General features: G+C 39.5%; 1 annotated feature.

Moving 5' to 3' along the window:
* Positions 9,762-10,961: an enhancer, noted in NCBI's record as "BRD4-independent group 4 enhancer chr12:68374855-68376054 (GRCh37/hg19 assembly coordinates)". NCBI's record gives its function as "activates an origin of replication core promoter dependent on BRD2, P300/CBP, MED14 and CDK7 cofactors, and independent of BRD4, by STARR-seq in HCT116 cells {active_cell/tissue: HCT116}" and the evidence as "EXISTENCE:reporter gene assay evidence [ECO:0000049][PMID:35650434]".

Here is a 12,219-nt window from a genome sequence, read left to right on the forward strand (position 1 = left end):
TTAGTTTGCTGAGGATGATGGCTTCCAATTTCATCCATGTCCCTGCAAAGGACATGATCTCATTTTTTTTACGGCTGCATAGTACCACATTCTCTTTATCCAGTCTCATTGATGGGCATTTGGGTTGGTTCCATGCCTTTGCTATTGTAAATAGAGCTGCAATAAACATATGTGTGCATGTGTCTTTATAATAGAATGATCTATATTCCTTTGGGTATATAGTCGATAATGGGATTGCTGGGTCAATGGTATTTCTGGTTCTAGATCCTTGAGGAATCGCCACACTGTCCTCCACAATGGTTGAACTAACTTACATTCCCACCAACAATGTAAAAGTGTTCCTATTTCTTCACAGCCTCGCCAGCATCTATTGTTTCTTGACTTTTTAATAATCACCACTCTGACTGATGTGAGATGGAATCTCACTGTGGTTTTGATTTGTGTTTCTCTAATGATCGGTGATGTTGAGCATTTTTCCATATGTTGGTTGGCTGCATAAATGTCTTCCTTTGAGAAGTGTCTGTTCATGTCCTGTGCCCACTTTTTGATGGGGTCATTTGTTTTTCTTGTAAATTTGTTTAACTTCCTTATAGATTCTGGATATTAGACCTTTGTCAGATGGGTAGATTACAAAAATTTTCTACCATTCTGTAAGCTGCCTGTTCACTCTGATGCTAGTTTATTTTGCTGTGCAGAAGCTCTTTAGTTTAATTAGATCCCATTTGTCAATTTTGGCTTTTGTGGCAATTGCTTTTGGTGTTTTTGTCATGAAAGTCTTTGCCTATGCCTATGTCCTGAATGGTATTGCCTAGGTTTTCTTCTAGGGTTTTTATGGTTTGGGGTTTTATATTTAAGTCTTTAATGCATCTTAAAGTTAATTTTTGTATAAGGTGTAACAAAGGGGTCCAGTTTCAGTTTTCTGTATATGGCTAGACAGTTTTCCCAGCACCATTTATTAAATAGATACTCCTTTCCCCATTGCTTGTTTTTGTCAGGTTTGTCAAAGATCAGATGATTGTAGATGTGTGGTGTTATTTCTGAGGCCTCTGTTCTGTTCCATTGGTCTATATGTCTGTTTTTGTACCATGCTGTTTTGATTACTGTATCTTGTAGTATAGTTTGAAGTCAGGTAGCGTGATGCTTCCAGCTTTGTTCTTTTTGCTTAGGATTGTTTTGGCTATACAGGCTCTTTTTTGGTTACATATGAAATTTAAAGTAGTTTTTTCTAATTCTGTGAAGAACGTCAATGGAAGTTTGATGGGAATAACATTGAATCTATAAATTACTTTGGGCATTATGGCCATTTTCACAATATTGATTCTTCCTATCCATGAGGATGGAATGTTTTTCCATTTGTTTGTGTCCTCTCTTATTTCCTTGAGCAGTGGTTGGTAGTTCTTCTTGAAGAGGTCTTTCACATCCCTTGTTAGCTGTATTCCTAGGTATTTTATTCTCTTTGTAGCAATTGTGAACGGGAGTGCATTCATAAATTGGCTCTCTGCTTGTCTATTGTTGGTGTATGGGAATGCTTGTGATTTTTGCACATTGATTTTGTATCCTGAGATTTTGCTGAAGTTGCTTATCAATTTGAGGAGCTTTTGGGCTGAGATAATGGGATTTTCTGAATGTACAATCATGTCATCTCCAAACAGAGACAATGTGACTTCCTCTCTTCCTATTTGAATACACTTTATTTCTTTCTCTTGCCTGATTACCCTGGCCAGAACTTCCAATACTATGTTGAATAGGAGTGGTGAGAGACAGCATCTTTTTCTTGTGCTGGTTTTCAAAAAGAACAATTTCAGCTTTTGCCCATTCAGTATGATATTGGCTACATATTTCTCATAAATAGTTCTTATTATTTTGAGATATGTTGCATCAATACCTAGTTTATTGAAAATTTTTAGCATGAAGGGATGTTGAATTTTATTGAAGGCCTTTTCTGCATCTATTGAGATAATCGTGTGGTTTTTGTCATTGGTTTTGTTTATGTGATGGATTATGTTCATTGATTTGCATATGTTGAACCAGCCTTGCATCCAGGGATGAAGCCCAGTTGATCATAGTGGATAAGCTTTTTGATGTGCTGCTGGATTCAGTTTACCAGTATTTTATTGAGGATTTTCATATCAATGTTCATCAGAAATATTGGCCTACAGTTTTCTTCTTTTGTTGGGTCTCTGCCAGGTTGGTATCAGGATAATGCTGGTCTCATAAAATGAGTAAAGGAGGAGTCCCTCCTTTTCAGTTGTTTGGAATAGTTTCAGAAGGAATAGCACCAGCTCCTCTTTGTACCTCTGGTAGAATTTGGCTGTGAAATCATCTGGCCCTGGGCTTTTTTGGTTGGTAGGCTATTAATCACTGCCTCAATTTCAGAACTTGTTATTGATCTATTCAGGGATTTGACTTCTTCCTGGTTTAGTCCTGGGAGGGTGTATGTGTCCAGGAATTTATCCAATTCTTGTGGATTTTCTCATTTATTTGCATAGAGGTGTTTATAGTATTCTCTGATGGTAGTTTGTATTTCTGTGGGGTCAGTGGTGATATCCCCTTTATCATTTTTTATGGTGTCTATTTGATTCTTCTCTCTTTTCTTCTTTATTAGTCTAGCTAGCAGTCTATCTATTTGGTTAATTTTTTTAAAAAACAGCTCCTGGATTCATTGATTTTTTGAAGGGTTTTTGTGTCTCTATCTCCTTCAGTTCTGCTCTGATCTTTGTCATTTCTCGTCTTCTGCTAGCTTTTGGATTTGTTTGCTCTTGCTTCTCTAGTTCTTTTAATTGTGATGTTAGGGTGCTGATTTGAAATCTTTCCAGCTTTCTGATGTGGGCATTTAGTGCTATAAATTTCCCTCTTAACACCGCTTGAGCCATGTCCCAGAGATTCTGGTACATTGTCTCCTTGTTCTCATTGGTATCAAAGAACTTCTTCATTTCTGCCTTAATTTTGTTATTTACCCAGGAGTCATTCAGGTACAGGTTGTTCAATTTCCATGTAGTTGTGTGGTTTTGAATGAGTTTTTTAATCCTGGGTTCTAATTTGATTGGACTGTGGTCTGAGAAACTGTTTGTTATGATTTCAGGGGATTTTTTTGTATTTGCTGAGGAGTGTTTTACTTCCAATTATGTGGTGATTTTAAAATAAGTGCCATGTGGCACTGAGAAGAATGTATATTCTGTTGATTTGAGGTGGAGAGTTCTGCAGATGTCTATTAGGTCCACTTAATTCAGAGCTGAGTTTAAGTCCTGAATATCCTTGTTAATATTCTGTCTTGTTGATCTAATATTGATGGTGGGGTGTTAAAGTCTCCCACTATCATTGTGTGGGAGTCTAAGTCTCTTTGTAGGTCTCTAAGAACTTGTTTTATGAATCTGGGTGCCCCTGTATTGGGTGTATTTATATTTAGGATTGTTAGATCTTCTTGTTGCACTGATCCCTTTACCATTATATAATGCCCTTCTTTGTCTTTTTTGATCTTTGTTGGTTTAAAATCTGTTTTATCAGAGACTGGAATTGCAACCCCTGCATTTTTTTTTTCTTTTCCTTTGCTTGGTAAATTTTCCTCCATCCCTTTATTTTGAGCCTATGCATGTCTTTGCACAGGAGATGGGTCTCCTGAATACAGCACACCAATGGGTCTTGACTCTTTCTCCAATATGCCAGTCTGTGTCTTTTAATTGGGGTGTTTAGCCCATTTACATTTAAGGTTAATATTGTTATGTGTGAATTTGATCCTGTCATCATGATGCTAGCTGGTTCTTTTGCACACTAGTTGATGCAGGGTCTTCATAGTGTCATTGGTCTTAAAATTTTGGTGTGTTTTTGCAGTGGCTGGTACTGGCTTTTTCTTTCCATATTTAGTGCTTCCTTCAGGTACTCTTTCAAGGCAGGCCTGGTGGTGACAAAATCCCTTAGCATTTTCTTGTCTGGAAAGGATTTTATTTCTCCTTCACTTATGAAGCTTAGTTTGACTGGATATGAAATTCTGGGCTGAAAATTTTTTTCTTTAAGAATGTGAAAATTGGCCCCACTCTCTTCTGGTTTGTAGGGTTTCTGCTGAGAGATCTGCTGTTAGTCTGATGGGCTTCCCTTTGTAGATGACCTCACCTTTCTCTCTGGCTGCCCTTAACATTTTTTCCTTCATTTCGACCTTGGAGAATCTGATGATTATGTGCCTTGGGGTTGATCTTCTCATGGAATATCTTAGTGGTGTTCTCTGTATTTCCTGAATTTGAATGTTGGCTGTCTTGCTAGGTTGGGGAAGTATTTCTTGAATTTGAATGTTGGCCTATCTTGCTAGGTTGGGGAAGTTCTCCTGGATAATATCTTGAAGTGTATTTTCCAACTTGGTTGCATTCTCCCCATCTCTTTCAGGTACTCTAATCAATCATAGGTTTGGTCTTTTTACATAGTCCCATATTTCTTGGAGGTTTTATTCATTCCTTTTCATTCTTTTTTCTCTAATCTTGTCTGCATGCCTTTTTTCAGCAAGATGGTCTTCAAACTCTGATATCCTTTTTTCCACGTGATTGATTCTGCTGCTGATACTTGCGTATGCTTCACGAAGTTCTCATGCTGTGTTTTTCAGCTCCATCAGGTCATTTATGTTCCTCTCTAAACTGGCTATTCTAGTTAGCAACTCCTGTAACCTTTTATCAAGGTTCTCAGCTTATTTGCATTGGGTTGGAACATGCTCCTTTAACTCAGTGGAGTTTGTTATTACCCACCTTCTGAAGCCTACTTCTGTCAATTCATCCATCTCATTCCCGTCCAGTTCTGCGCCCTTGCTGGAGAGCTGTTGTGATCATTTGGAAGAGAAGAGGTGTTCTGGCTTTTAGAATTTTCAGCATTTTTGCACTGGTTTTTCCTCATCTTCATGGATTTATCTACCTTTCATCTTTGAGGCTGATGACCTTCGGATGGTTTTTTTTTGGGGGGTGGAGGGTGCTTTTTTGTTGATGTTGTTGTTGTTGCTTTCTGTTTGTTAGTTTTTCTTCTAACAGTCAGGCCCCTCTACTGCGGGTCTGGTGCAGTTTTCTGGGGGTCTACTCCAGACCCTGTTCTCCTGGGTATTACCATTGGAGGCTTCAGAACAGCAAAGAATGCTGCCTGTTCCTTCTCCTGGAAGCTTCATCCCAGACGGGCACCAGCCTGATACCAGCTGGAGCTCTCCTGTATGAGGTATCTATCGACCCCTGTTGGGAGTTCTCTCCCAGTCAGGAGGCACGGGGTCAGGGACCCGCTTGAGGAGGCAGTCTGTCCATTAGCAGAGCTGTTGCACTGTGCTGGGAGAATTCTGTAAGCCCCTGACTAGAGCTACTGGATTTCCTGTAGAGATGCCCTGCCCAGTGAGGAGAAATCTAGAGAAGCAGTCTGACCATAGCCGCCGAGTCCAAACCTCCCAATCTCCTTAGCACTGTCGGGGAAAACTGCCTACTAAAGCCACATAATGGCAGTCACCCCTCCCCCACCAAACTTGATTGTCCCAGGCCGACTCCAGACTGCTATGCTCACAGTGGGAATTTCAAGCCAGTGGTGCTTAGCTTGCTGGGCTCCATGGGAGTGGGACCCACTGAGTGAGACCACTTGGTTCCCTGGCTTCAGCCCCCTTTCCAAGGAAGTGGACGGTTCTCCTGTCTCACTAAAGTTCCAGGCACCACTGGAGTATGAAAAAACTCTTACAGCTCAGTGCATGCCTGAACAGCCGCCCAGTTTTGTGCTTGAAATCCAGGGCCCTGGTGGTGTTGGCTCATGAGGGAACCTCCTAATCCATGGATTGCCAAAATCTGTGGGAAAAGTAGTACTCTGGGCAAGTAGCACAGTCCCTCACTGCTTCCCTTGGCTGTGGGAGGGAGGTCCCCTGGCTCCATGAACTTCCTGGGTGAAGCAATGTCCCACCTCGCTTCTGCTCATTCTCCGTGGGTTGCACCCACTGCCTAACCAGTTCCAGTGAGATGAACTGGGCATCTCAGCTGGAAATGCAGAAATCACCTGCCCTCTGTGTTGGTCTTGCTGGGAGCTGCAGACGGGAGCTCTTTCTATTTGGCCATCTTGGCTCCTCCCCACCCATCAGTTTTATTACCCTTGGTTTTCAGATAAGAACATTGAGACACAGAGTGGTTAACTAGTACTAAATTTTAAGTCACAGGGTCAGAATTACACCATTCCAAAACTTTCTTTTTCTTTTTATGAAATAATGTTAAAATTTATTAGTTAAAATACTTGATCTCCAATACGTTCTAAATAAAAGAAACAAATTGTTATGTTAACAGTTAAAATGTGAATCCTACCCAAAAACACGCTGTTCTAGTTTTTGAAATTGAACTCTCCACCCTGATAACTGTTCTTTCTCCAATTTCAAAAATGAGACCAATTTTCATCAATCTTTGCTATGCAACCATTATTGCAATTCCATGGAGAATGTGTCCATTTTCTCCTGCATTATTTCTACCACATATCAGTACCTAATAACCTGTTACTCCACCCCCATAAAAATCCCAGTGTCCTAAGGGTTTGGCCTGTTCTATATCATGGTCAGCCAGTAGAGCATTTCTTTCCTTTAACCCACAGTGCCCTCCTGTGAGGAGAAAGGCACCCTGAACACAATGAGCACGATGAGTGGCATCATCATTTTATTTTGTTCTCAGCCCCTGCCAAATGCTCTCTCATTCAGACAATATTTAATTTTCAAAGGCAGAGTCCTTCTTCTTCCAGGAACTTGGATAGAAACAATCCTCACCTAATGAAATGGGTCATCTCATACAATTGGTTCTTTCCCAGAGACCGTAAGGAAAGACCTGTGATCACACATTTGATCCATTGTCACCCATTTCAGTTTCTTGCTATTTGCACTTGCCTCTCTACAGTCCAAGGCTCTTTCCCTTACTCCAACATGGAGATACTACCCAGGTCAAAAAGAGAGATTCCCAGGAAGATAAAGTTCCTTTAGTTCTCCAACATCACATCTCTGCATAAACCCCTCTGAGTAGAGTCTCCAGGCATGGCCACTTCTCCCAAGAGGATTCTATGGCCACATCCCTAAATGTCAATGGTCCCAGAGTAGGAGTCATCCCTGACTCCTTTTGTTTTCTCTTCCTCCTCTTCTAGGCTTCTTCCTGGTGTGGAGAGGGTGGTGTGGGGATTTTCAGATCCACAGCAATGCCTGGGTGCTGGGTATGGAAACAGGGGATGGTGAAGCGCAGGTTGAATCTAGACAGAGGGACACTCAAGCTCCCTGGTGTCACCCTCACTCCATGCAATTCATTTCCAGGACTATCCTGAAACTTTCTATTAAACCCCAAACCACCTTTTAGTTACATTATATACGATCTCATAGTAAAAATATAAATTTTCAAAGCTTGCCACCATAACCACTCTTGACAGTTCTTCTATAAGACTTTTGTTACTGTCCCTTCATTACTCCAAATAGCAGGACTCAAAAAATAACTTTTATTTCTAATATCAATAGAAAAGTATCAAATGAAAAGAGCTGGGAAACATACAACCAAAATAAATACTATGTAACTGATATGGTTTGGCTCTGTGTCTCCACCCAAATCTCACCTTGAATTGTAATCCCCATAATCTCCATGTGTCAAGGGCAGGACCAGGTGAAGGTAATTGGATTATGAGGTGGTTTCCCTCATACTATTCTCATGATAGTGTGAGTTCTCATGAGATCTGATGGGTTTATAAGGGGCTCTTCCCCTTCACTCTGCACTTCCTCCTGCTGCCTTGTGAAGACGGTGCCTGCTTTTCCTTTGCCCTCCACTGTGATTGTAGGTTGCCTTAGGCCTCCCCAGTAATGCAGAACTCTGAGTCCATTAAACTTCCTTCCTTTATAAATTACCCAGTCTCGGGCAGTTACTTACAGCAGCGTGAGAATGGACTAATACAATAACGATTCAAAATTATGTTTTTAGTAGAAAGGGTAGAATGGGGAGTTATTGTTCGATGGGTACAAAGTTTCATTTTTTTCAAGATAAAAAGAGTTCTACATGGATGGAGCTGGAGGTCATTATCCTTAGCAAACTAACAGGAACAGGAAACCAAATACTGCATGTACTCACTTATAAGTGGGAGCTAAATGATGAGAACACATGGACACGTAGAAGGAAACAACACACACTGGGGCCTACCAGAGGGTGGAGGATGGGAGGAGGGAGAGGATCAGGAAAAATAACTAGAGGTGCTAGGCTTAGTACCTGAGTAACGAAATAATCTGTACAATAAATCCCCACGACACAAGTTTACCTATATAACAACCCTGCACATGTACCCTTGAATTTAAAATAAAAGTTAAATAGAAGAAAAAAAAGAAAGAAAGAAGAGTTCTAGAGAAGGATGGTGGAGATGATTGCACAACAATGTGAATGTACTGAATGTCACTGAACTGTACACTTAAAAATGCCTAATATTTTCGGCATTTTATTCAGGTATATTTTGTTATGTGTATTTTAACACAATTAAAAATAACTTATAAAAGATAAACAGATTAAAATATTGAACTCATGGGGAAATAGGATTAACTACTAAGGGTACTGTCCCATAAATGTAGTTGTTTACATTTGGCTTGTACAATTAAAATGGACTTTCATTTTTTAAAAATTTAATGACTTGGGAAAATACTCATGATGTAATATTAAAGTGGAAAAAAACACAAGATACAGAACTGTATAGAACAATGTTGGTTGGAATGTCAACTAGTACAGCCACCATGGAAAACATTACAGAGATTTCTCAAAGAACTAAAAATAGAGCTACCATACAATCCAGCAATCCCACTGCTGACTATTCACACCTCCAATAAAAGGAAATCAGTATATCAAAGAGATACCTGCACCCCTCTGTTTATTGCAGCACTATACAGAATAGCAAAGATATGGAATCAACTAAATTGTCCATCAAGAGATGAATGGATAAAGAAAAGAAAATGTGCTATTACATGTACGATGGAATACTATTCAGCCATAAAAAGAATGAAATCATGTCGCTTGCAGCAACATGGATGGTAGTGCAGGACAATATGTTCAGTGAAATAAGCCAGGCACAGAAAGACAAATATTATAGGCTCTCATTCACATGTGGTAGCTAAAAACAAGTTTATCTCAGGGAGGTAGAGAATAGAATGATAGATACCAGAGGTTGGGAGGTGTGTATGTGGAGGCGGAGGAATGAAGAGAGGCTGGCTAATGGCACAAACACACAGTTAGATAGAAGGAATGAGTTCTAATGTTCAGTAACAGAGTAGGGTGACTGTAGTTAACAATCATGTACTGTATATTTCAAAATACCTAGAAGAGAAGACTTGAAATGTTTCCAACACATGGAAATGATAAAGAAGGTGGTAGATATTCTAAATAGCCTGACTTAATCATTACATATTCCATATATTTAACAAAATATCACATTTTTAATAAATATGCACAAATACTATATATCAATAAAAACTATAAACAGCAGTATCACAGACTTTGTTTTCTTAAAAATTTGCACAAGTGCTCAATAGGGATTGGGAAGAAGAGGCACCAGAATAATGGTGGTTATTTCTGGATTAAGAATCAACCAAATTTTTCTGTAAAAGTTCAGATAGTAAATATTTTAGGATTTGTGAGCTGCATAAGGTCTGCAGAGAGGGGCGTCCCTCTAATTTTGGCTATATCTTGTAGATCAAAGTTCGTGTTCCCTGTACCCTCCTAGAAGGTATAGACAACTCAGTTTATTTTTTAGTTTACATTAGTTTATTTTTGTCTTCTTGAACCTCCCAATAAAACTCTGATTCTCCTCAACAACTTTCTTGCTTTTTTACATTTTTTGTTATCAGTCCTCATTTTCTACTTCTTCTATTGATCCCAATACAAGTGATCAGAAATTCTTGTACCCTAGAACCGAAATGTCTGTGCTTGCCAATCAAGTTTTACAAAGGTATTTTCCTGAATATCTGAATTCCTGAAACAAAAATGTGACAGGAATGGAGGAAATACCTTCTTTGAGACCTTTTGGGAACATGAGAGTGATCATCATGGTTTTGTGGTGATGCTAACCAAGCAGTGGCAGAGCTTTCCCATGTCGCCTCTGCAGCAGCAGGGGGTTTAATTACAGCTCTGAGTAAGTCAGGAGTCATCTGACTTGGACGATGACTAGGCCTTTTACTCACAGTTTCCACAGACATTTTAAAATATTAATCAAAATAATAGAGAAGATACTTATCTAGACTACCATTTTTGACAAGTCATGGCTTCTTAATTATTCAATTCTTATTCTTCAGAGGAGACAGGGAGAGTTGCCTGAATTAGCTCCTAAGTGTATCACCTTCTCCTATGCTTTGGTTGTGTAGAATCTGCCCTAATTAAAAATGATTCTTGGAAATGCTTCTGGGATCAGAGACTTTGAAGCGGATTGCATTAATATGAAATAAATTAAAGCAGCTGCCAACTAAAGATATGTTCCCATTTGTCTTTCTCCTTGACCATTCCATTCCCATTAAAATCAACTCTCAATGCTTTTAAAAGAGTTTGTTCCTGGCCTTGCTTTTAGAGAACATGCCCTTTGTTGTTGCACTCTGAAAAGATAGGGAGGAGGTATTCAAGGATAAATCGAACAAATGAATCAGCCTTGTATTCCAGCAGGCATGGGGGCAGAAAAGCTCCAAAGTACATGGAGAACACTCTAAGCATAGTCAGATGGGCTGTGCTCAGGGTTTTACAGACTCATTCACAATTTGGAAGTCATTATCTCAAGCACATCTCTGTTGTCATCTCATTAAATAGCAGTCTCATGCTCTCTATTTTTCTTTTTTCTTTTTTTCTTTTTTTTAACTTTGCATTGCAGCTTTGAAAGGAAAGTCAGCTTTATCACCAACAGATATACCTATAGAATGCAATGCTTTACTGACTTTCTTTTCAATTAATCTTGGTTGTGCTGGCCTAGTGGGGCTGTGTTCTCTGGCGATGCTCCAGGGGTCTCCAGGACTGACCCCATCTACCTGTCGTTGCTTCCTTGGTGGTTTGATGATTTCCCTCTGGTTTTTCCTGGCAGCGGCTGCTCTCTTAATTGAAGCCACCTGTTTGGTTGCATGTCCTCCATTCCCCAAGAGGAGCTGAAACTCCACATGGTGCTCCATTGTCGGCTCACCGCTGTCTATATTTGAATTAGATTGCAGAAGAGGAGCACAATGTCAGCCTGAATCCAAATTGATCCTGCTGTGAACAAGTGTATATACGTATTGCCCTGTATTACAAGTGTGCCTTGATTTAAACAAATTGAAGTATGCAAAAGTATAATTTTAAAAACTGAAATATCCAAGGTGATAGTTCTTAAGAACATACTCTTTGAGGCTGAAGGAAACTTAGAAGCCACTTAATTCAACCTTTTATCTAATATATAAATTCCTCTTATAACATCCCCTATAAGTGGCTCTCAAGATATTACTTGACACATCCAGTAATAAGGTACATATTCTCTCAAGAAGTAGTCCTTGCCATTTTCAGAGAGAGAATGGAATTTCCCCTGTGTGTCAAACTAAAATCAATCCTACTCTATTTAGCTCGTTTTCTTAAATGCTGACACCTGCAACCACATAGAAAAAAATTTCTACCCCAAACTTCAACCATTTAAAGACAACTATATGGCTCCACGAATATTTTTTTCTCCAGGATATTTGTGGAGTGTTATAGTTTTCAATATTGTCTTATAATATCACGATTTGCAGATCTTTCCTTCCTTCATCATACTGTTTTTTTTTTCTTCTTCAACAAAATTGTCTCTCTTAAGGTGTGGATCTTAGAAGAAAATCAGTAATCTAAATGCTTAGTGTAGAAGGGAGTTATCATTTCCCTTAACCAGAAACTGTCTTCCATGATCATGGTCTAAGATCTTGTATTGGTTAGAGAAAGCCATGTGTGTTGCCTGCTATAGTTTGGATATTTGGCTCTTCAAACCTCATGTTGAAATTTGATCTCTAATGTTGGAGGTGGAGCCTAAAGAGAGGTGTTTGGGCCATGGGGGCAGATGTCTTCTGAATGGCTTTGTGCCTTCCTCCTGTTAATGAGTGAGTTCTTGTTATATTAGTTCCCAAGAGGGTTCTCCGAGAGCTGGTTTTTAAAAAGAGCTTGACACCTTCCATCTCTCTCTTGTTCTTTCACCATGTGACCTCTGCACACCCTGGCTCCCCTTCACCTTCTGCCATAAGTGGAAGCAGCCTGAAGCCCTCACCAGAAA

This window comes from Homo sapiens, chromosome 12 (assembly GCF_000001405.40).
Source record: "Homo sapiens chromosome 12, GRCh38.p14 Primary Assembly".
In the NCBI taxonomy this organism is placed as follows: domain Eukaryota; kingdom Metazoa; phylum Chordata; class Mammalia; order Primates; family Hominidae; genus Homo; species Homo sapiens.